The sequence below is a fragment of the Homo sapiens genome, chromosome 7 (assembly GCF_000001405.40).
Source record: "Homo sapiens chromosome 7, GRCh38.p14 Primary Assembly".
Classification (NCBI taxonomy): Eukaryota; Metazoa; Chordata; class Mammalia; order Primates; family Hominidae; genus Homo; species Homo sapiens.
In genome coordinates, this window is record NC_000007.14 from 15702083 (window position 1) to 15728576 (window position 26494).

General features: G+C 34.4%; 1 long non-coding RNA gene across 2 annotated transcripts; it reads left to right on the forward strand.

Moving 5' to 3' along the window:
• On the forward strand, positions 1 to 25971 carry LOC101927558 (uncharacterized). Of its 2 annotated transcripts, XR_927057.3 has the most exons (4): positions 1 to 704; positions 13443 to 13493; positions 15630 to 15728; positions 22932 to 25971. It is a non-coding gene; the product is annotated as an uncharacterized LOC101927558 (long non-coding RNA). The 2 variants fall into 2 exon arrangements; XR_001745101.2 differs by lacking the exons at positions 1 to 704; positions 22932 to 25971 and adding an exon at positions 19786 to 19938 and having other exon boundaries at positions 12734 to 13493.
• Positions 25972 to 26494: the final 523 nt, after the last annotated feature.

Here is a 26494-nt window from a genome sequence, read left to right on the forward strand (position 1 = left end):
CGTGAGCCACTGCACCCAGCTGGATATATATTTTTCGTTGCAAAATGATAATGGAACTGAAAGTTTTGTGGCAAAAATTGCAGTTATAAGGAAAAGAGGTTAATGTTTCCACAGGTAGAAAAATGGGCTACCAAGTAACTATGTGACCTTAGCTACCCGTCATGAACTGGGTGTTATCTGACCCATCAACCCATCAAGTTGGTGTGCGAAATAACACTCCATCATCAAATGGAAGTGGCATATTTGTGATCTGGCCCTAGCAGGCTGTGAAGGCACAAGTCAGTTACATGAAGAAGTGGCCCAAATGCCTCTGGTCTCCACTTCTACTACCCTAGCTTCTCTCTTGCAGCCTGCACCTGTGGTCTCACGGAGTTCCCTATGATCACTTGACAGAAGAAGAGAAGACTAGGGCCTGGTTAACAGATGTTCTGCATAATACTCAGGCATCACCCTAAAGGGGACAGCTGCAGGAAAAATAGAACAAAAAGGCTTAGAAAGGGCACATTTGCTCACTGAGCTGGGATATGTATTGTCTCCTGCGCTTGGACATCAGCACTCCTGGTTCGCAGGCCTTTGGACTTTGACGAGGATTTCCATCATGACTTCTCCTGGTTCTCAGGCCTTTTGACTCAGACGTCTTATGCCATTGGCTTTCCTGCTTCTCCAGCTGGCAGATCCTGGGACTTCTTGGCCTCCATAATCACGTGAGCAAATTTCCATAATAAACTTCCCTGTATTTGTTTACGTGTGCGTTTGTGTTTGTGTGTGTGTATTCTGTTGGCTCTGTTTCTCTAGATAATCCTGACTAATTCAGATGGAGGAAAACATCATTTTATCTGATAGTCAATAGTGTATCTCTCTTTTGAACTTGACTTCTTTTGTCTCTATTAAAAACTTTTATTGTATTTGATACATTGCAGCTGTAATAATAGGAGCTTTTTAATATGTATTAACATAGTGATCAGAATATTTGACTCTAAAGTGGGCCATATATTTAACTTTTAATAGGACAGATATGGCTTGGCTTTAAAGGTTAGTACAATAAATTTACACTTTAAAATTTCTCATCAACATTTCCGAAGAAGATATCAAGAATACGAATATGTACTTGTGTACATTTTTTTCAGTTAAACTTATGTTGATATTTGACAATAGTTTTCATGAAACACTTGAATAATTGTGACATTTAAGTAGCAGTTACGAGACAAGATGGCAACACTTCCTGGGGAGACCAACCAGCTTCCTGATGGCAGGTTGATTCCACTGAATCACTTTCATTATGAAAGTGTCCACATTTTGTCCTTATTGGACAAAACTTAACTCTAGATATGGATTTTCCTTCCTTGCAGGCAATGATTTTGCCAAAACTACCACTGGTAGACGTATAGAATGCCTTATCCACTGTCATGATATGCCATACAGCATTGCTTCTGATAAAGAAATTCACTTCACAGCAAAAAAGGTGTGGCAATGGGCTCATGCTCATGGAATTCACTAGTTTCACCAGGTCTCCAACCATCCTAAAACAGCTGCCTTAATAGAATGGTGGTTTGGCCTTTTGAAGGCTCAGTTACAGTGCTAGTTAGGTGACAATACCACTTGACCAAGTTCTCCAGGAGGCTATACATGCTCTGAATCAGCACCCAATAAATGTTTTTTTTTTTTCTATAGTAAGGATTCACAGGCCCAGGAATTAAGAAGTAGAAATGAGAGTGGTACCACTCACAATTACCCCTAGTGACCTATTAGCAAAATATTTTTTTTGTTACCGTGACTTTGTGCTGTGCTTGCCCCAGAGGGAGCAATGCTTAATCCCAGAGGGAGGAATGCTTCCACTAGGAGACACAACAGTGATTCTATTGAACTGCAAGTTAAGACTGCCTCCTTAACACTTTGGGCAACTCATGCCTCTGAGTCAACAAGAAGGGAGTTTTGGTGTTGACTAGGGAAATTGAACTGGACTACCAAAAGGAAATTGGCCTACTCCACAATGGAGGTAAGAATGAGCATATCTTAAATATAGAGGCTTCCTTAGGACTTCTGCTAGTATTACCATGCCTGTGATCAAGGTTAACGGAAAACTACAACAACTTCATCTGAACAGGACTACTAATGGCCCAAACTCTTCAGGAATGGTTTGGGTCACCCCACCAGGTAAAGAACCATGACCAGATAAGGTTCGTGAAGAAGCAAAGAACATACATAATGGGTAGTAGAAGAAGGTAGTTATAAACACCAGCTATGACAACAAGACCAGTTACAGAAACTAAAACTTTGTCATGAGTATTTCCTCCTTATTTTGTTATGAATATGTTTTGCTTACATATATATTAAGCAAATATCCTTGTTTTCTTTTTTCTCTTATTCTGCTATTATGTAACATAAGATATGTGACTCTATATCAGTATTTAGTATCGTTAATTTTACATCATTGTATTTGAGTTATAAAATATTAGAAGGATAAATATTACTTAAGGACTGTATCCTCTGGAAGGGATTAGTGGATTTTCCATTTTATGCAAGATAGTTGTATTACATAAGGCAGAATTATGGCCTTGTTATTGTCTTTATTTGGAAACTAAGTACGGTTAAAGGACATGCATATGGGTGCCCAGGAGACAAGGGTGAATTGTGATGGTGAATGTTATATATCAACTTGACTCAGCTAAGGAATGGCCAGATAGCTGGTAAAACATTATTAACGGGTATGTTGATGAGGGTGTTGCTGGAAGACATTAACATTTGAATCAGTAAAAAGAGTAAAGAAGACTGCCTTCATCAATGTGTGTAGGTTTGAAATAATACAGTTTATAGGAGGATGTGTTAAGCACAAATGCCCACAATTGTTTTCTTAACATGATAGGTTTTAACAATTATATGACCTGCAAATAACACTAACCATATGCCATAAAAGACATTATATTTTTAGTCAAAATATGTCTAGGCCAGAGTTATTAAATAAAATAAAAATCATTCTATATTTCTTGAAGACAAGTATTACTGATTTATCTGAGAGATAATTTACATATAAAGCACGTATATTCCACTACTATGTTTAGTGCAAATAAAAATTATGAAATCAATTTAATAATTTATTTCTATAGTGAAAATCCCAGGGTAAAAATCAACAAATATACTTTGAAAGATAAAATGTATTTCTATACATTTGTGAAACAGGGACCAGTGCTTACTTCAGTAGGCAATAAAGCATACACAGATTATTACACTCACCAGCATTTGGTTATATTGGTTCTTGTTTGAAATAAGTGACAACTGTTTATCAAAACATATTTTTCTGGTTCAACTTTTCCCATATAGACTTCATAATTTTATTTTAAGTACATATAAATTATATATAAATGATTACCAAAACATTTCAGGTTTGTATGTTAGGTTTAATTACTAAACACTAATCTAGCTGTGCAAGAAAATTGTTAATCATCTAATAATTCAAGTAAAATAAAACTAGATAAATTCCCACTGGAAGATCTAATGAGGTGCTCAGTCATAAAGGTATAGACAGATTTTAAAAGTATAGGCAGATTCCTCTCCCGAGAAAACTTGTTGGATTTCTAGGAAGACAAGATTTACACATATATACAAGAATATATATAGTTTTCTGTAATTCATAAATTGAGGGAGGGAGGAGAGTATAAAGAGCCAGAAAGAGAGAAATAGAGACTTTACATGTTAGAGTGGCCTGCAAAAGGTGTATGGGAAGATAAAACAACACAAATTAGAAAAGCGTTTGAAATTTCATTTGGAGAGGATGCTTGTGTGTTGTTTGAGGCAGAAAGTTAGGTAAGAATTATCAGTTGATTGTATTTTAGGATTGAAAAAGTAGTTATTGGTGGCCATGCAGTCCATGCCCCTGGGAGTAGGAGATGTTGTTGTATTTGACAGAATTAGAAATATCAAAAAGGATCTAGCTAGAGAGGAAAGTGGTGAGTGCTTATGTATTATGTATTTAATACATACAATTCAAGTGGATGGTTGCATATTGAATATATTCCTTTATTTGATGAGTTGGAATTTGCATTAGAAGTAAGGATAAAATTAAGGCTTGATTGTCAAATGATGATTAAGACTATGATTTTAAATAAGCTTTCTGAGATGGCACAGAGTGACAGTACAAAAATAATGCTCCTCCTGGAGGTAGTCTCACTCTCAGGAAGAAAGAAAAGGATGAAACCTCATAAGGAAGGTTTGTCAGAGAAATGATTAGAGAAGCAAGGAGCAAGCAAGCACAATATCCAGAAAGCCACGAGGAGAGAAAAATTCTGGAAATGGGTAATGAAGAGATTCAAGTAGAGATATTGTGGAAGATAATATTTGGGAAAGGCCTCAGGGAAGGATGTGGATAACAGTATAGAGAATGTTTCATTAGAGCAGCAGAGGACCCAGAAAACAGCAAGAAAAGAGAAGATAGATGCAGGGCTTATCAGAAATCTAGATACGAACAGGAAAAAAAGTAATGCAGCTATCTAAAAGAGAACCAACGACAATGAAAATGTTTTTGCTATTGTTTATTTGCTTTGTCTTAAGAAATAATGCTTAAGATAATTAAGTTGAAGAAAAGAAAGTGATTATGTTGTCATCACTTGGTACATGTCTGGGCTCAGTATATATTGAGTGGATAATTGAGAAATAGTTGGAAATGGCAAAAATTATGAAAACGGTTATATTTTTGGAAGTTACAGAGGGTGAATACAAGTGGAGAATTTCCTTTAAATGAAAAGAGAGAGAGAGAGACATGCTACTTTAAAAATAATGTGGCCAGGTGCGGTGGCTCACACCTGTAATCCCAGCACTTTGGGAGGCTGAGGCAGGCGGATCATAAGGTCAGGAGTTCAAGACCAGCCTGGCCAACATGGTGAAACCCTTTCACTATTAAAAATACAAAAATTATCTCGGCTTGGTGGCGGGCGCCTGTAATCCCAGCTACTCAGGAGGCTGAGGCAGGTGAATCCTTTGAACCTGGGAGGCGGAGGTTGCAGTGAGCCGAGATGGCACCATTGTACTCCAGCCTGGGTGACAGGGTGAGACTTTTTCTCAAAAAAAAAAAAAAAAAAGAAAAGTAAAAATCTTGATTTTTTTTTTCCCTATGCTGGGATGGGATTATAGAGTTTTGAAAAAATTATCACTTTGGTATTAAATAATAATATGTTGCTTGGCAGTCTTGGTTTCTCTGATCCATGTATATTTCTCTTTTTGACCTTACTATTTTAAAGATGCTTGAATTTGGTACATATAGCATTCTCCTTATGTATCTGTAATTAAATCTAAAATAAATAATAAAATCAATAATACATAACCCAATAGCTAAATTTTCTGCTATGTAATTCTGTAATAGAAATATGCACATCAAGTTTCTGACCAATAAGAACTTGGTAAAGAAAGCTAACTAAATATTTATCTCATTAGGATTTCAGGAAATTGTTACACATCCAATTTTAGGTACATATCAGAATACAGTGCTAAGCACTACAAGTCATGAATTTTACAAAAGATTTACTCTTTCATACAAATATGTAATTTACTTTGTTAACTTTAAACCACTTCAGCGTCTTTCTAAGAATGTATTCATTTGGAATTGACCAGTGAGTTCTGTCAAGCAACATTCATATTTGTTCAAACATTAGGACAATGCATTTTCCCAATATTATCTTACAGGAAACAGGATGCCATAGTTTGAATCATTGAATCTTTACATAGTCTGATATGGCTCATTCTCTCAGTTACTTTATTTTTAGCTTTAAACCACTATTCAGAGAGACATGTTAATCTGAAACAATGTCAATTAATGCTTTTAATGTTTATGATTATTATACATTTATGATTAAAAAGGAGAAACAAATTTTAATAAATTTTTAAAAATTTTCCCCAGGAAATTACCTCAGAATAACAAGTGTTAGTTTAGGATGCTGTAAAGAAATCTTATAAAGATTACTTAAAAATAGGGAATGGTGAAGTTGTGAGATCAAGCATATATAAATTTCAGGAAAAACGAAATGTTAATATTTTGTAAATTGGTATAAGAATTGAGACAAAATATTGAGTGAGATAATTATGCAGCTCTGTGTCTCTTTTAAAAGGAGGTGAGGTTTATGTACTCTTGAAAACTGCCTTGGAACACTCAAGACATGACTCCAGTATGGACCGTGAATGAATCAACTGATGTTGAAGATGCATATTAAGGGAGTAAATTGTTTCCTATGACTTCTATAACAAATGACAGCAAACTGTGTAACTTAATAGGATTTGATTCTGTGACAGTTCTTGAGGCTAGAAGTCTGAAATCAAGGTGTTGGCAGAGTCATGCTCCCTTTGTTGGCAGAGGGGAAATATCCTTGGTTGCGTCTTCCTGGCTTCTGGGGGTTGCTAGAAATCCCTGGTGTTCTTTGATAGCAGCTACATCCCCCTGCCTCCATGGTTACATAGCCTTGATTACTGTGTTTCTCTTCTTATAACGACACCAGTCATACTGAATTTAGAGCCCACTCTAATCTTATATGGCCTCAACTTAACTAATTATCTCTGTAAATACAATATAAAGCTATGAAAACTAATATATGAGAAGGAATCAATAGAACACCAATGAAGCATGCTATACCTACTTCATCAACTGAAGGTAATGAAAATTCCTATGGAAGGAAAATTACTACTATAATGAAAATTACATGAGAAATTGAAAGCCAAGGGACTGAGGTCATTGAAAACCCTGACCAATGTTTTACAACCTTTGAAATAAAAATCTAACTATAATACATGATATAGGAGGATTCTCCACTAGAGTTCACACACTTAAAGTAAGTAAAATAGATACAAGGCATTTGACTTTTATTCACCACACCTGCTCAATAGGAAAATTTCAGGGTCTGCCGCTGCTGGAATTTCTATGAGATTTTTAAAAAATGTATTTGCTTTGGGCATAAAATCTTCAGATTTAACAAGTTATAATTATTTACACTCACTTTATGCGCAGAATAATTTGAAAGCTTGAGTAACTTTTTTAGTGCAGAATTTGCTCTGCCCAAGTTAAGTTCCTGCCCCAAAACCAGGGTTAATCAGCCAATGTTTCACATTCAGTTTAGTCCATTCTTACTGAGACATACACAGGTAGTTCTAACAAACAGTTTATTCTAGAATCTTCCATTTCTCTTAGCCATAAAATTCTACCATTTGTCAAATTTTAGAAAGTTCATCTCGTAAATATATCTTGGCTCTTTCTTTTTTCTGTTCATAGTTATCTCTATAGCTGAGTCTGTAAAATAACTTCTATATTCTTTTGTTTCTAGCTTAGGATTCTTCAAATCCAACCTACATGTTACTACCAGAAGAATAAAACCCAAATCTGGTTATGATTTCTTATACATATATAAAATGCACACACACTGCCTGGCATATATAAAGATCCTACTTTAAGGTAGCAGAATGTTTCTGTCTTTTAAAATCCACTTCCTAAATTGCTGCAATGCCTCCTCAATACCTTGACAATGAAAATTCTTTGCCTGATGAATTGATTGGGTGAATTCACTGCTAAGAAACCCAGACTCAAAGTGGCTTAACAAGAAGAACATTTTAAATCTCACCTCACATGAAGCTTAGAACAAGCGTTGGGTTCTAGTTTCTAATACCTCAAGTTTCCAGCCCTGCTTCTCAGGTTTACTTGACTCTGCCTGTAACCCAGTATCAGCTAATTATTCTCAGTCTGGCTTCTCTTATGGAGCAGCAACCATGAAACATACCTCTCACCATCCATCTGGTTGCAGAAAAGATTTTTCTCTTTTCCATGGAGTTGAAGAAAGTTTCTCCTTGATTTAAATTTGCTTAGATTCATCTACTCCTGAGCCAATCATAAAAGAAGGAATAAAATTACTATGATAGTTTTATTAATATCTGGAGAATAATTATCTAGTACATAATGAATATTGAAGAGTCAATTGCATATTTCATGTAACATATTCGATTTTTGCATGTTATTACTCCAGATTTGCCTACACATATTCTAAATACTAATCACAACAACCACTTCCTGTTCCTTAAATGTGTCATGTTCTTCCTCCCCTTTAGTCATTATTTCCTTTTTGCCAAGAATGACCTTCACCATGTCTTCATCTGACTGATCTCAAGCATTCTTGAAAGCTTAGTTTAAGCATCACCTTTCCTAGATATATTGCCCTGTTTCTACCAGATGGAATCAAGAGCGCCTTTCTTATCATCTTGCTTGCCTCAAGCACAGTCCTTCTCAACCTCCTGAAAATTAGGATTACCCCGTAGACCATTTCAAAATTCTGATGCCCTGGAACCGCATCCAAACATCTGATTCAACTGGTTTGCAGAAGAGCCTGGATGTGAGATTTATTTGCTTTTAACTTCTCAGCTGGTTCTAATGGGAAGTCAAGATTTAGAACCCTGCTCTCGATCACTTGCCATATCCAATTATTAGGAAACATTTCTCTTTCTCCTCTACTAGGGTTTTAGTTTTTGAGGATATGACTATGTTTTTTTCCTTGGTAGCCTAAGTACCTAAAAGAACGTCTGATATAATGTTGGTGCTCAAAAGTTTGTTGATTGAAAATAAACACTGAGTTTCAAAAGACAGTTTTTTAAAATTCAATTTAACAGTTGTAAGCTAAATGTCTTCTGTGTACTAAACTCTATATAAGCTGTTGGTATACATGGTGGATAATGTACAGTCAGGTTTTAGTACAATTAATTTTCAGTTAGGTGCTAACAAGTTGGCAATTATGATCACAGTGTTAGTAGCATCAGGCCACTACATCTTAAATTACTCTTCCAGAACTGCGACCTTCAATCTAATACAGCAAGTCATTATTTCCTTAAATAATATTCCATTATCTTAAGTAATAGGTTGCATAATTAAAAAAAAATTAGGTCTTACAAGTATGTACTTCTGAGTATGTAAAGTCTAACTACAAATAAGTCCATCCTTTTTCTTTTATCCAAATATTTAATTTTTTTTTGTTTTTACCTAGGTTCCAAACAAAATCTAAAAGGTTTTGCATTGATTTAATATCCAGTGAAAGGCAGGTGTTCACTAAATGGAATGAGAAAAAATAAAAGCAGCCTAACTGCAGAAGTGTCTTTGAACCACAAATTTAAATTTTTAGTGGTTTTACAATCTTTTCAAGCTGTCAACGGAAAAACATGGCTTGACATTGAACACATACCAAGTCAGTAGCATAACTATTTTATAATGTCTGATTGGTCACTGAAAAAAACAGTTTAAAATTCAATCCATGTGATACAAATGCCACTTAGAAAAAGACCATTCATCCTGCAGTGCTGTAGGAAACCTGTGGTATAACAGTTCCCATTTCATCCAGCAGCAGAAGGGGTTTTAAAGAATTACAAATGGAATGGTTCCTAGAATCCTACATGTTGGGTATTATTAATATAAATTTTATCATCACAAAATTCACTATTAGAAGAAAAAAACATAATATTATTTTTTCACTCTCATGCATTAAAAAACTTCATTTTAAATGACGATTTTTAGGTTTATTTATGGGAATCCTTTGGGAATGTCCATTCCTAATTTCATTAGGTCATTCATTCATTAACTGAAATATGTTGAACACTTGCTATATTGTTTCTCATAGTGGAAAGGGTTGGCCTAGTCATCTGTCCAACTGGCATTTATATTAGTCATGAATTTTGTATTCTATTTGGAAAGTCTGTGTGTAGCTATTAATGGTTAGAGATTGCAGAATTACAGATTACCTGAAACAGAACTGGTTGTTTCAAAGCGTTTATAAGCCATATAACAAAACCTAAGTAATCAAAATAAAGCAAATGGTGAATTTTTTTAGATTAGAAACTATTCTGGAAAATTATGAAAAGCGAAGTGGACTTCATCCACATTTGGAAATCAGATTTGTCGCACATATCTCAGTATCAGACAAGTTTTGAGGACTGTAAATTTTGAATTTCTAAACTTCTGCTAACTTCAGCTAAATTTGAATTGTCTAATTTTGAGAAATCCAAACTCAGTGATTTTCTCGTATGCCTATTTGTCGATCTTACTTGTAGACTTTTCATTATTAATTAGCAGTTTCAAAGGGTAGAGACAAGGGGGAAAAAGCATGGACAAGAAAAGACAGCAGGGACAAGAAAAAAAGCATTACACAAATTAACCCATTTATGCCTGAGGTTGCAGTTTCTTGAATTTTTGCAATCAGGCTTTGGCGATGATCTTGAGCAGTAAGATATAAATAACTCCCACATGCTTAGCATTCCAATAATGGAACAATAGGCATAAATTGGACAGAATTTGCCCAATCTTGGTTATCACCTCTAAAAAATGATTTAATAGAAAATAAGTTTGAAATTAGTGTGAAAGCTTCAGATAATATGTGAATTGCAAGATCTGCTTTATTCCTTTCCCCCAATCATTGCTAAAAGTTAAGAATTAGTCCTACATGTAATGGTATGAAATTCATTCATGTTCTCATCTGTAAAGTAAAAGTTAAGCATTATAATTGACTTTAATAGTTATTATGGTGACGACTAATAAAAATTCCTGCAAGTATTGACAAGCCTTCAAGGATATAGCAGTTACGAGTTGCTAGCTAAAAAGTACTTTGAGACCTGGGCAGGAAGGTGCTTTATGGCTACTTTATTTTTTTAATGTAATTTGATTTACTTCATTCCTTAAGAGAAAACATTTTATTAAGGCTTTTCGTTCGTGTGTTTTTTAGTTGTTTTTTTGTTTTTGCAATAGACTTTATCTTTTAGAGCAATTTTAAGTTCCCAACAAATTTGATGAGAAAGTATAGAAAATTCCTGTATTCTCCTTCCCCACACCTCCAGATACAGCCTCCTCCACTACTAAACATCCAGCATGAGAGTGGTACGTTTGTTACACAATAAACCTACATTGATACAGTATTTTCACCAAAGTCTTACTTTACATTTGGATTCACTCTCCGTGTTTTATATTCTAAAGGTTTAGATAAATGTATAATGACAGGTATCCATCATACAGAATAGTTTCACTGCCCTAGCATACCTCTGTGTTCTGCTTATTCATCCCTTATTTTATCCAAATCCCAGACAATCACTGATCTTTTTACTGGCCCCATAGTTTTGCTTTTTACAGAATGTTATATTGTTGGAATTATGCAGTATGTAGCCTTGAAAAATTGGCTTATTCCACTTAGTAATATGCATTTAAGTTTCCTCCATATCTTTTCATGACTCAATAGCTCATTTCTTTTCAGGGCTAAATAATATTCCATTGTCTGGCTGTACCACAGTTTATTTATCTGTTCATGTACTCAAGGATACTGGTTTGCTTTCAAGCTTTGGCAATTATGAATAAAGCTTCTATAAACATTTGTGGTTTTTAGCGTCTTCAGGTAGATATCAAAGAGTGTGATAGCTGGGTCATATGATAAGAGTAAGTTTAGCTTTGTCAGAAACTGCCAAACTATATTTCAAAGTTTCTGTAGTATTTTGCATTCCCACCAGCAAGGAATGAAAGTTTCTGTTGCTCCATATTCCCTCCATCATTCAATATTGTCAGTGTTTTGGATTTGGGCAATTTTAGTAGGTGTGTCAAAATATCTCATAGTTGTTTTAATTTGTACTTCCCCAGTGTCATGAGATGTAGTACATCTTTTAATATGCTATTTTAATTTGTGTATCTTCTTTGGTGAAGTGTTCAGAACTTTGGCTTATTTATTAAATTAGGTTGTTCATTTTCTTATTGTTGAGTTGTAAGAGTTATTTTTGTATTTTGGATAACAGTCCATCAGTTAAGTCTTGGACAAATGTTTTCTCCCAATCTGTGGTTATCTTTTCCTTCTCTTGACAGTATGTTTCACAGAATAGAAGTTTTTTATTTTAATAGAGCCCTGTTTATCAGTTCTTTCTTTCATAGATCTTGCCTTTGGTGTTGTATTTAAAAAGTTGTGATCATGCCCAAGATCATCTAGAAGTTCTATGTTATTTGCTAGTAGTTTTATAGTTTTGTATTTTAAATGTATGTCAGTGGTCAGTTTTGAGTTAACTTTTGTGAAGGGTATAAGGTCTCATTCTAAATTCTTTTTTTTTTTTTTTTTTTTTTGCATGTGACTGTCCAGACATAGTAAGGTGGAACTTTTTTGTTTTGGGTGTTTTTGTTCATTAGTTTATTTTAGAGAGATGAGGTCTTACTTTGTTGTGCAGGCTGGGCTCCACGGATTCCCAAATAGCTGGACTACAGGCACGAACTCTGGTGCCCAGCTTAGTACTAAAGTTTTAAGCTTTGTTGGTTTGGCCTGTCTTTTTGTGATTAAGAACTTTATAAATTATATTATATTTATTTTAGAAATGTAATGCAAATGCAAATTTAACCTTAGCTGTAACTACTAAGGCCAAATAATCAAGAATTATAGGTACCACAATGTCTATGAAAAGAAAACCCTATATAAAGGCATTTGATAAGCATACAAAACTTTCACAAAAGTCAAAAGAAAACACACTGAAAACATTTCCCTATCACATTTTAAATTATATCTTACAGGAATTTTATTGAATAGTAATTTTACTATTGACTCAGGTAGTATTAGTGATTAATTATTAGACAAATATATACCTAAACCTAAATTTAAAAATGATGTCTCTAAACAGAATGGCATAATTTCCATAATAAAATCCAAGTCATTGCTTTTATGAAATGATGAGAGAAAGGAGGAGAAGGAGGGAAGATAAACATCAAACATGTTCAGCCTCTAATTTTAACAATGTCTGTATCAGTCACTGTATACTCACTAAAAACACTACTGCCAAAATATTCTAAATCTAGGGGCTTACTTTAGAAGGTTACTATGTATCGTTTCAATGTAAAAAATACCCACTTATCTTAAAAGGAAGTGTGATGGGAAGAGCTTTTAAGAGTTATTGTTTGATACTGTGATAGGCAAATAATGTCCTTTTCACTGTGCATTCTTAGGATGGAAAGTCAAGATTTGTGGCATGTGTGTGCATGTGTGCATACATACGCTTTTTTAGGTATGCGTATGATGGGAGGTGAGTAGATAATTTTTCTCCAGGATTTTAAAAGCTGCGTATTTACATCTCTTCCTAAATCAAGCACAACAAGAAGGTGTTAAAAGTGGTGAAATATAATAATTAACGAGGGGAATGGAAATCAAATGACAATAAAATTACATCATACACAGACGAGAGTTAAGTACTTGTGTAGAGGAATTAAACCGATTAAGGTTTTCCTGCATATAGCTCCATACACACATTACTTCCATAACTTTAAATAATATATTTTGTTTTTTTGTCCTGGGTGTATTATTGAAATAAGTACATTCCCTCTTACTCGTTCTTCTCAACCCCAGATCCATTTTCCAATCCCCCACTGATCCCATGTCAGCATGCTCTGTTTTTGACTAGACAAATAATACACAGATTTATTTCTACAGGAAAAACCTCTGGTAAAGTCATGGAGTGCCTACTTGAACGATATTCAAAAGGTAACTGCATGCTTTTGCTGGCCAGAAATAACTCACAGCAAATGAATTCACAGAGCAGTCAATGGAATTCTGTAACCCTCTTAGGGGAGCCATTGTACTATAAGAGAAACTTGAAGCAGTGAAGCAGCCTTTATATCTATATATATCTGTATATAGCTATATACACATAATACAGTGTATGTGTGTGTTCATATACATACACACATACATGCATACATATGTATGTACACACATACATACTGTATTATGTACGATAGAAATTATGGTAAGAATAAGTTAGACTATTGATCTGTGACAAATTTCCACTTGAAGTCATATGGTGTTGGCTTAATATTCCTTTCATTTACATTGTATTATTGTGATAATTTATTTAGAATGATTTTTATTTATTACTGTTGCAAGACTAGCAGTAGATTGAATGGCAGTAATTCTAAGACAAGAATAGACTGACGTTACTTCTTAGATGTAAATCTACAGATTGAAAGATTGGTACTATGAGATTTTTTGTTTTGTTTTGTTTTGTTTTGTTTTTGTTTTGAGATGAAGTCTTACTCCGTCACCCAGACTGGAGTGCAGTGGTGTGATCTCGGTTCACTGCAAACTCTGCCTCCTGGGTTCAAGCAATTCTCCTGCCTCAGTCTCCCCTAGTAGCTGGGATTACAGGCATGTGCCATCACACCCAGCTAGTTTTTGTATTTTAGTAGAGACGGGGTTTCACCATGTTGGCCAGGGTAGCCTCGAACTCCTGGCCTCAAGCAATCCACCCACCTCAGCCTCCCAAAGTGCTGGGATTACAGGTCCTGAACCACTGCACCTGGCCCAAGATTTGTATTTCTTAAACTGAATTCCAGAATTTATTTGAGAGAAAACACACACACACACACACACATACACACACACTTTCAGTGCATGAATAGCATTCTGTATTACTGGGATTAACTATAAGAGTTCATTTAACAAATTTCTTTTACAGAAGTCAGTTTAGAATTGGGGGCAGTGTTAGGGCTGAAAGTATGGAAAAGTAAAGACGGAAATAAAATTTTTTAGAAATAAAACTCAAATTTATGACATGGGAGAAATCATGAATTTTTCAAGTTAACAATGTTTGGCTATTGTTATATATATCATGGTTTAGCCAATCTGCACATCCATTGTTTTATGTTGACATGTCGTGTTACAAGTTTTGTGTTATTCTTGGCAGCTAGCACACTTCTGAAACTTTTGGTGACCATTCTGGCAGAGTATCTAATGCATCTGAAAACAAACAAACAAACAAAAGTAATTATTTGAAGGAAATCAAGGCACAATTAAAAGTGGAGACACATTGTCAGTTTGCATCAATCTAACTTAAATATGTCTCCTAAATCTAAATGTCACTAAGAATTACTAGTTTTTTGGGGTTTATTTTTTTTTTCAGCCTAGGAATTTGGAAAATCTTCCCTCCTTCCAAAATGATATTTCAGGGGATTTCCAGACCTTTCCCCCCTATTACATTTGATTGCTTTCTATCTCATTATTTCAAAATCTGATGTTTTCTAGAATATCTACACACTTACACACACACACACACACACACACACGCAAACAAAGTACATTTACATTGCATTCCCTTTAGCCCTAGTCATTTTTTTTAGGTCATCTAAATTTTGGGCTGGCCACTTTCTCACTTCATCTAATTTCTGGGATGGTCACATTTTTTACTTCATCTTAATTCTGGTCAAGGGCAGGATTTACTGTGTCTGGACAGATAGTGAGATAAAAAGGGCATGACAAAGGTGAAGAGAACACACTCCTGCCTCCCACCTCCCCTGAGAATATGTATCTCAGTCTATCATTCTTCCTTCAGAGTGATGCTCCTGGATATAAAAGGAAATGATCAGAGACTTGCTGCTGGCTGAGTGCGTTTGAGTATATAGGATTCCTCACAGGAATTGAACTGCAAGTTTCTGCATGTCTCATAATTATTATTCCTGTGTACTTTTGTGTCTGTAGATTATCAAAGGAGAAGGCAAAGGGGGAAAAGGGGAAAAACAGAGAAAGATATAAGTGGAGCCCTCTTCACAGCTTTTCTTTCTATTTGTTAACGGCTATGAAGATTCCTTAAAACTTGAGTGGGTTTCTGCGTTCTCCCTTCAGGAAAAGAAGAGATGGAAGGAAACTGTTGCTTCATTTTCTGTTCATGGAAGGGGAGAGAGAATATCTGAGTTTGGTGGGAGCAGGCACAGACAGCAGAAGGTAATTATGCAGCCAAATTCAGACTTGGGAGAAACACAACAACTGTGATAGGTGATTCCAGGACAGGGAAGTGTGCTCCTGACGGAACATTTTTTTTCAATCTGCATTTTTTTTTTTTTTTTCTCCTGGCCACCCAGACCACTTGTCCAGACGTGGAACTCCCAACAGTAGCTTAGAGCTCATACAATACCAAGCACTGCAACCGCGCAGAGTTTTCTCAGTTTGAAGTCACGGCTGAGGTGTGAAGGTGTCATCTGGATTTGGGATTTTGTCTGAATTTATCTTACGTTTAATAATTTTTTGGCAATGCTAGGCCAGAGTTATTCTTTATGCACAATCCATAGCTTAAACAGAACGTTGTGGGTCAGGTCAGAAATACAACCACCAGTGACAACATTGATTTTGTCTGCTCAACAAATATTTATTAAGCACTATGAGGATGTATTCCAATTTTCAAGCAAAAGTAGCAAGACATAGGCTTTTACAATTAGTGATTATCTGAATATGAGTGGCATTAAAAATGTGTATTGAAATTATTATTTTTTCAAGATATATAAAGGCTTAATCTCTTCCAGAAGATGGCAAAGAATGAATTTCAATTATTATGATCACCACTATTGATTTAATATGACTTCTTCAATTGGATGTGCTATCTTCTGCCATAAATATAATAAATAGAAAATTATATAATCTGAAGAGTATTTTTTCTCGTTCAATTTCTATAACATTTATTTTAAATTCACACTATGCCTTCTTAACTTGAAGAAAGCAAGCCTGCATTTGAAAAACACTATAACAAAATTTACTTCTGAGTCCAGCTTCACGTACTAAGAAATGTTGTTATTGTCTTATTGTAATGTTATTATTATGTATAAATTTTCACATCTATAATTACTATGCCATGTAATTTAAATATCTCTACATTGTCACAGAAATATAATAGTATAATATTGACCATTTGTAGATATGTATTTTAATTTAAATGACTCATGAAATTTGAGTTTATTTTAAGAAAAAAAGGAATGGATTGAGGCAAAATAATATTGATAAGTTGAAGAAATACCAGTGGGCAGTTAGAAGCACTAAGCTGAATTTCTGACTTCTTGTCATATTCTAATTATTTGTTTTGATTTTAAATTTGGAATATTTTAAAATACAATATTTTAGTATAAGAAAGTTTGGTTCAAAGATATTTGGGCATTTCCCATTACCCCTTAACAGTGTAATATTAATATTTTCAATATTATACTTGATACACTAAACCATAAAAAAGATTTTCTTGAACTAATCAGAACATAAAAACTCTTATTTTAAGCAAATAATATTCCAAACAGTAAGTCTCCTTTTATAAAGACAAATGACGGTAAACAGACCAAATCAGAGAGTTTGTAAAATTCTTATTATTATGATTGAAGGAGAAAAGCTCATTCGGGTTTTGGTATTGAGGCTGATACAGATACGAACGTTCTCAACGTGCATGATTTACAACTGCCATTATACCGTGATGGCAAATCTTCAAACAGAGTTGAAACAATTTTGATCATCCTCCCTCCCCATGAAAACAAAAAATGCTATCACAATAGAAAAAGAAGAAAAAGAAACATAATGGGTAACTGAAAGTCATTGACTTGATTTAAAATCTGGTCAAAAGATTGTGGCTCTCTGTAAACAAAGAAGCATAGACTGTCTCATTCTTTCCCACAGTAGTGTTCTGATGCAAGAGGATATATATTTGGGTTCCCAAATTCTTGCCTCCCTAAGGGAATTTAACTTCTATACAATTCTCAGCAATAAATATGAACCACCATTTCACACTGTAAAACATTTCTGTCAACATAGCAGATGCTAAAGATGATAGATTTGACTAAGAACACATCCAGATAATACAATGTATTTTGAGTGATTTGGAAAGAAAAGTAATCTCTGCAGGTGAAGAGAATATTCTAATGATATACTTAATTTAGACAACGTAATTTTTTAAATGTTTCTACCTTTTTTCTTTTCTTAATTTTAGCAAGGAAAAAATATTTAGAATGCTCCCAGAATTGAACTTTAAAGTAAAAGTCACAATGTTCAGCTATCTATTTTTGTTTTATATTACAGATTTATGCATGGCCTGCGTTAAATACCATGTGAGTTTTATAGAGAAAAGAGAGGACATAGACATTACCTTTAAGAATATCCCTTATTTGCTTTTAACATAAAATGTCAATCTAAAAACTAAACATTTTAGATGGCCTTTGTGGAAATTTTCAGCTATAACCATCAGAAAAAATGGGCCTGAGAAACACTGTCAATTTTTTTAATCCATTGAACCAAATCATTTTGCAAAATATTGTATTTGTACATTTTTAAAACTATTATAGTTTACATTTAGAATATAAAACAGCAGGGCATAACTCTTTCAAGTAACTTTCAATTTTTAATAAGAGAGTAGATCTAGGAACAAACGTCTAAGGAGTGTTTTATTGTTGTTGTTGTTGTTATTCAAGATATGACCCATAATACGTAGATGTGGAAAATCCCTGTTTTTCCAGTGGTCAGATGTTTTGAACTTGTGTTGACTGAACCATAAAAATGGCTGACTCCACCACTACAACACTAAGGAAATTGAACCTGAAAGATACATTTCCTTGTTTTGTTCCTGGGTTTTTTTCCTTCTGAATTACTTGATTTTCCTAGGAACTTCAGAATCTCTTTTACTATTGTTTTGAAATTATTAATTAACCTCTCAAGCAAGTGAATAAAATCGATGTCACCATTTAAGGTGAGAAAAAGAAATGCTCTGCCGCACAATTTATTATCCTTTTTTAGCACTGCATGATTTTAAATCAAGGTTTAGATATTCTGGAATGGAAAAATTGCACTAGAAAAGAATAAATTTATAGCTACAGACTCAAAGGGCCTTGTTCCCTAAAGAACCTCTGCTTCCAAGATCTTTCTGATTCATCACAAAGACCTAAATGTGGGGAGAAATATTTTTAAAAAGTTAAAAAAAGAATAATTGGAAAATATGCTTAAGTGTTGGAGAAGTGAGAGTCTGTCAGGAACAGAAATAGACAACTTAATTATCTAGAACAATAAACACCCAAGAGTAATTTCCAAAATATATTGACGTTTCTGAGAATTTTCTAGAAAATTAATTCTCGGTATGTTTTCTAGCTAAGAACATTCCCCACCAGACTGCAAATATGAAACTTGTTTTTGAATTTCTGAGAAAAGAAGAAGGAATGTTTTTATACGTAACAATGAATCACATCCTGACAGCGCCATCTACCAGTCACAGTTCAAACTGCAAGGGAAAACCGAGTTCTAAAACAAAGCTTCTGATTTTAAGTAACCAAAACAATTTCTGAAACAATATATAATGGTGTCTAATATATGAAACATTTTATTTTGAATTCTTCATTTAATACTTTTATTATGTCCTCATAATAAATTATATAGGGGATTTCTAGTTAACCAAAAGAATATAATCCCATAGTCCTTGAATCATTATTTTTAGATCCCTGTGGCATAGAAAAATATAGCTTCCTAAGCTAATTACTATCTCAAAGTTCATTTTCCTTTCATCACTACAAATATGTTCTCCAGGAAAATATAGTGCCCATAGTTTGTCTATGTCCTTCTAACTGTGTTGGTATCTCATGCAGTGGATACTTTTATGACTTCCTGTTTCACTGGCGTTCTCATGGTATCCTAAGGTCCAGAAAAATTCTATCTTTTATCCTAGCACTGATTTGAGCTTGCAATTTAAAACACTAGGGGTTAGTCTGTATTTTTCTCTTGCAGAAATGGAAATAATTGAAACGACACGTTACTAAATCATTAAAGCATTACCACAAGCTGTTTTGGTGTAGTCGTTTGGTTTGGAGCCTGTGGAATGAAAAATGCACTATTCTGTTTTACCTTGAAGCCCTGCTTTAGTTAAAAGACATTACAGTCTCTCATGAGTATGTGGTATAAGCTTCTCTGTCCAAAACCAACAGTCAGTTGGCTCCACACTCACTCATTTCCTTCTCTCCTCTTCTTCCTCTTCCTCCTTCTCTTCTGACAGAAGCAGAAAAATTACTTGAGCATTTTGAAATAAATGTCCTTTTGAGGCCCAAGATGTCTACCACCCAATTGGAAAAGCAGGAAAGACCATGTAAACTTGAGAACCAGTGCAACTGGTGAGGCTGAGGAGCAAGCATGTTTCCAAGATGAAGCACAAATGCTTTTATGGGTAACTGAATTGGCTGTGGCATTAGGATCTACTCTAAGGATTCAAAAAAAATTATTTATAAGCATAAATAGTAAAAATATGTAAACATTATGTACCTCAAGGTATTTTTTTTTACATGTAACCTCCATTATAGATTGCAAATGAAACAAAAATTATATTTGTTAAATCATAAAGCCTTATTTGGTCGATTTCTTCTTTTAAAACTTCAGGAAGTATTTTAAAGAACCAGAAATTATATTCCTCTTTTTTTTATCTTTTAGGGAGAAAGAATATTTAGTTTGTACTTGTTTGGATATCAGCAACATAAAGAGCTTTTTCTTTTTTGGAGAGAAAAATTTTTATACCCTTAGCTGACTTCACACACACACAAAAATCTGGTACACAAATGTAGGCAATTTAAACTAGTCACTTGGGTGAAAATCTCTCCGTCTTCATCTCATTCAAAATATTACCTAAATGTAATCTGAACCATTTAGAGTAGCTCTACTTAAATCCTGTTATGTTTTCACTAGTAAAGACTGATAACCTGATAGTTCCCAAGGCTTTGATGCTTACAGTTTGAATACCAAGTTGACATTACATGCTCTTTTCTAAAAATCCCCAGGGCTATATTAGAGATGAGATAAGTAAAGATGTATAGAACTGTGTAGAAATCTGTGAGTATCTTCGAACACAGTACTCTAAGTGAATATCCCTATAGGTTTAGTCATTCTCACATTAATATAATCTTGTTACTGGTGGTTAATGAAAGACAATGAAAACTTGGCCTCAAAGTTTTAAATACTTATACATTTCTTTCGAAGTAGAATTACTATGAAAATAGCATTTATTATACATTTAAAAATACTTCAAAGGTGTTAATTTTTAGAGGTTATGAGTTCATTTTTTCACTCATCCTTGCTCTCTAACGTATACTTAGAATAGTATGCCCCTAAAAGGCTCTATTTAGGCCATCATAATTTCTTCTCTGGGCTATTACTTTACTCCCTAACTTAATACCTAACTTCAGTGTCGCCATTCTTCTTCCTTTGCACAGTAGATTGGTTTTTCTAATCTCCTTATCCTATCATCAGTGCATAAAAATACACACAGGCCTTCAACAATGTTCCCTTATGATGGCACTTCATCCCTCCACTTCTCCATCTCCAACCTGAAATCCAGCCACACTGGATTCATGACAGTTCTTTTAAAGGCTTTGCTCTCTCGCTTCCTGTTCCCCACTCCTACCCACCCATCTCATATGTTTAGGACATCTTCATTCGTGTTTTAATGCCTACTAAAATAAAACTCCACAGAGAATCTTTCCTGACCTCTTGAACCCTTCTCTTTAACTCCCCACGTTTCCAATTCACACTGTACTGCAACCCCGTACTTGCAATTCAATAGACTGTAGGACATTTATGGGCAGAAAGCACGTGTGATCCATTTAGAAGGATAGCGCTGAAGGCAAGGCCTGGTAAGAGAGAGTTCTCACTGTCAGTTCACTGGATAAATGAAAGGATGTTTGAGTGGACAGTCAGATCAACTCAGTAACTTTAGAAACAAAGAAATTGAGAGGTAGTTTGATTAAAAGGCTTGTCTAAGGCCACTTTTTGAAGGAATGGCACCATGACGCCAGGTGACAATGATCATTCAGGGCTCCTTCCCCTTATAGCTCGACAACAGTTCCTGAAAAATGTCAGTCTCAATAGCATTAATTTAGGACTAAATCTTAGCTATGTACAATGTCCCAGTAAGAATAATATTCCATGTTTGTCCTTTGTGTTTAAACAAAGTGTGTGATCAATTTGAATTTAGTGTCCTCTGCCCCATGCCTGAGGTGGGGAGCACAACTTTAGAAACTGTGAGTGGCAGCCCTTCTATGAGCAAGAAGCTTGCACACTTAGCTCTCTTTTCCATGGTTTCTTCAATACTTAGGATTTTCCTGACTTCCTCCAGTTGTGTTTTTTTTCTTTTGCATTTTTCTTTTTTAAGTTTGGAGAAGTACAGCCAGCTGGCTGGAGTCTGCCTCCCATGTGTTCTTAATAACTATTATTTCCCCAAGGGCTAGCTTATGCTTCTCAAACCTGGCTACAGATTAGAATCTCCAGGGTAACTTTTGAAAAAAATACCAATGTGTGGACCCACAACCAATAATTCTGATTAAATTGGTTGGGGGTAGATCTTGGGCAACAGTAGGCTATCAAAAACTCTCATCTGATTCTAATGTGTGGCTAGACCTCGCCATCTCCACTCTTGACTTTTTCAAGAGAAATAATGAAATGGCCTGGCATTCTATTTAATTTGTATATCGCTTCTGTCCACAGCTTCCAGGGCAGGGGATGTTGCATGCTCAATGTATATATTCTATTCAAATGTGGAATGAATAATGAAAAGATGGTTCTTTCCTTGTATGTTATTTTGGATATGTGGCTGGTCAAAGACTCCTATAAGGACCAATAAAAAGGAAGGATCATTGGATTCTATACTGTCAATGTCTGACTTTGTCTTGGAAAAATTGCACTGAAGTCCTATTCAGAGTTGGCTTTGGAAAGCCCCTCCTTCCCCCAGGAGGGTGAGGCAAGTGGTGACAGAAGTTGATTACAGAACAAAGAACCATTTTCCCAATTTCTCTTTAATTCTGAGTATTTTCTTATCAAATTCCCATTCCTCTACACTTATTCTTCCCTTGCATTGAATATGTGATCTGAATAGGTACTAGATCAGTGTTATTATAATTTCTAATTAAGTTGTTAAGCTGTTGATATTAACATAGTAGAAGACTAATGAAAAGTGAACAACGAGCTGTTCTTGGCATAACAATAGAAAAGCGGATAGCACTCTGGCACCTTATAACTACCTAATCAGTTACTGTCATTTATGGAGAGACTGATGGTTCTCTTGAGATATTAATTTGGGTTTGGGGGGCGGTTAGGGAAAGAACATGTTGCTAATGTGTGCTAGTCAATTCATTTATATTTTCTATGCTTCTTTTTCAGAGTTCATCTGTTCCACAGTATCAGCTTACTGAGCAACGTTATCCAGGGAGCCCTATACCTCTGGCCATTGCTGATTAGACAAGAATAAGCATTTGGTTATTTGTGACAAACCTGATTTTTTTCCAGTGATTCATACTAATAGTGCCAGAGATATTCCGAGGTATTCAGAGATATTGACACCTTAAGGTTATATATTCTAAGGCCAGTGGCCAATTTCATCTATGTTTAAGTTAATAATTAAACAGGGAAATCTGGTGCTATTGTGTGGTCTAATAAATAAAATATTCTGAGTATTTGGCTTAATGAGCATGCCTTGGAATGAGTGGCAGATAGAGAAAGGAGACCAGCTACCTGCTTACTTTTTAGTTCCTGGGAGTCCCGGCTACTCTTTCTTTCAGTCAGTTGGTGAGATTCCCTTGTGTTCATCGGATACATTCATTTTTTCTTAGCTAATTTATGTTCATTAAAATAACACTATCCTTAACCAGGAAGAATAATAAAGTGTTCCGTAACATACATATTTAGATTAGTCTTCACTCTGAATTTCTTTTGTTTAAAGTGATTCAAAGAAACCATTTAGCTTTAGATTGACACATTTCCAGGGGAGGATTTTCACCTAAAAGAACAGACTGTGGAAAGACCTACGGGCTTATGTGATGAAGGAAAAACAAAGAGAACTCAAAAGATGAGGAAAGAACTTGAAAGTTAAATTCTGTTACTTCATATCAGTAAGTGATTTCTTCTATATAATTTACACTGTAATATTCTTTAAATGAACAAAAATATGTATATTTGTAAAAGGCCCTATGCATACACTAGTAAGAAATGTGTTAAAAATGAAAGAAAAATGCTGACATGCCTAGGAATGATTATGATAATGATAACGATTGTAAATATTATGGGCCAGACACTCTACCAATACAACAAAAATAACAGCAATAAACTTTACATGGATGATAACATTGAATTCTAACAACAGTTTTATGAATTTAGAAATGTTATGTCTATTTTATGAATAAGGAAACCTAGACTTAGAGCGGTTAAATCACAGTCCAAAGTTATACAGCTGTAATATGGTGGATTCAAATTGCAAAATCAACTGAGTATTGTTTTAGAGTCCGTGATCTTAAGCACTCTGCTTTAATATACTTAGAGGAAAACTTTCCTCAATTTCTGGAGATGAAGAAATGGAAAATTATCCAACCTAGTGGCAATGCAAACCATCTGAGAAAGGAGAGTCTGGGAGTGTGGCTGTCTGAGACACATCATTTCATCCCAGCCGGTGCTCTTGGGAAGAATTAGGACTTTGTAAGAAATACTTAATTTGAAAAGGATTATCTTGACACTTCTGTGGAAGGTCGACCAGAAAAAAGAAGATACATCATAAGACTATTTTAGTAATTCAAATGAAATGAAAATGTCCAGTTTGGGGTTATAATTATCAAGGTTTATAGAAGCTGGTAAAGGAGAAAAATTGTTACAGATAATTTAAAATTTTGAGTCTGGTGGACTGAAAAAATAATGATGCCATTGGGAGCAAAAGTAAAATTATAAAGTGTCTGTTTTTTGATGAGGGAAAAAATATATTTCACTCAAGCTGTGAGCAAAGATGTGAGATAGATCTTTTCTTATTCAAGTGAATTATCTTCCTGTTCTGTTCTAGTCAGGCTTTCTGAGTGTGCAGGTCAGCATCTCAACCTCAAATTATTCTTTTAGCTCGTCTTATTGTGGTGTTTGTCTTGTTCTTTGAGACTGTGTCTTCTTATCTCATATCCATTCTTCATTAGCTGGATAGTACACTATCTTATATGCTGATATCCTGTCTTGTATCTCAAAAAGATCCACGGTTATGGAGGCCAGTAGCTTAACCCAGTGGTTGGAGATTCTAACTAGTAGTAGCTCTTCGGTGCCAACTTTATACATACTTGGATTTTGACTTACTGACTGATACGCACAATTCTTGTAGTGTCATATTGTTTACCTTCCAATATGTCAGCTTGATAACTTGCCTCAGATAACCTTGATTCTCAAAGGAACATCATCATAGATGTCTACCAAGTTTCCAAAGATCAGCCATTTCCAGTGGAGCAGATTGTACTCGGGCCATAGTCCAAATACTTATTTTCTTTAATTTCCCTGTATATTCATTATGCCTTGATGTTACTTAATAGATCAGATATATTTATTACACATTTGCCTATATATTAATACACATGTGCACTCTGATCTATTTATTATGTTTATTAATTACTTTCTTTGTTTTCCAAAATTGGAATCATGCTACAAATATTGGTTTGTTTTTTAAATGTTTATCCACTTACTCAATTATCATATTTACCATTTTAGATTAGTACCTCATTATTTTTAATAGTTTTATAGTAATTTTTAAATATAGGTACTATAATTCTTTATCTCATTTTATTGTTTACTGATATTAAGCCTGCAAATAACATTTATAATGAATATCGTTTATGCATAAGTGTCTCTGATTGCATGTGTATGTGCTGTAGAGGTTAGACTAATGTAACTGAAGAATAGATTCTTAGATTTTTGATTTCTGGGAGAAAGAGAGGACAATCTTAAAATTATATACATATTCCCAGGTTACTCTCCAAAACCCATATCTACTCACACCAAATATTTATGACTATACACTCTGCCCACCTTTGCCCACACTGAATATTGTCGAATCTTTTTATTTAAGTAGCTAGGTAAAAAGTATAACTTTATTTTATTAGATTAATGAAGTTGAACATCTTTTTATGTGTTTCCTTCTATTTATATGTCATTTATATGTCTTCTAATGTCAAGTTGCTTCTATTTATAGGCCATTTATATGTCTTCTAATGTCAAGTTGCACTCTTATTTTCTTTATTTTGTTATTGAGGTATATATCTTTTCATTTCATATGAGCTCCCAAATTTTACTAAATTTGAATGCAGAAGTTACTCTTTATTAATGTGCTAATTAAATGTATTTCTCTGTTTAAATGTATTTTAAACTATATTTTAAATAAAGGTACTCAGAATACAGCACATTGAAGCAACCTTGGAGTGATTTATTTTAGGATTGTTCATTAAGTAAGAGCTACATGGAGAAACAGACTTAATCTATCTAACGGCACATAGAAGTACAACAAACTCACAGCACACACCTTCTAGACTTTAAGATCATGTAAAAGATGTCAACTTTGTACTGTCTGTTCTTAATCATTGCAGTATGTTGAAAGTGATTTTAAAAATATTTAGCAGACATAATTGAAGTATTTACAAAGAATAAATGAAATGAGATTATGCTTGCCAGAAGTCCTATGTTGTATACATTTCTTCATATGTTCTATTTTTAAGGCACAGTCAACTTTCAACATATTCATGAGAGGCGTGTATAAACAAATATACTATGTTATCTCCCAACAAAATATTGTTTCACAATTTCATATTGATTTTCAATATAATAGAATTTGTGCTGGGAGTTTAAGACTAGATTTACAGGCAAGAATGAGATTTCAATGACTATGTTTTTAATGATAAAGATTGAGGAGTTGGAAACGAAATAGAAAATGA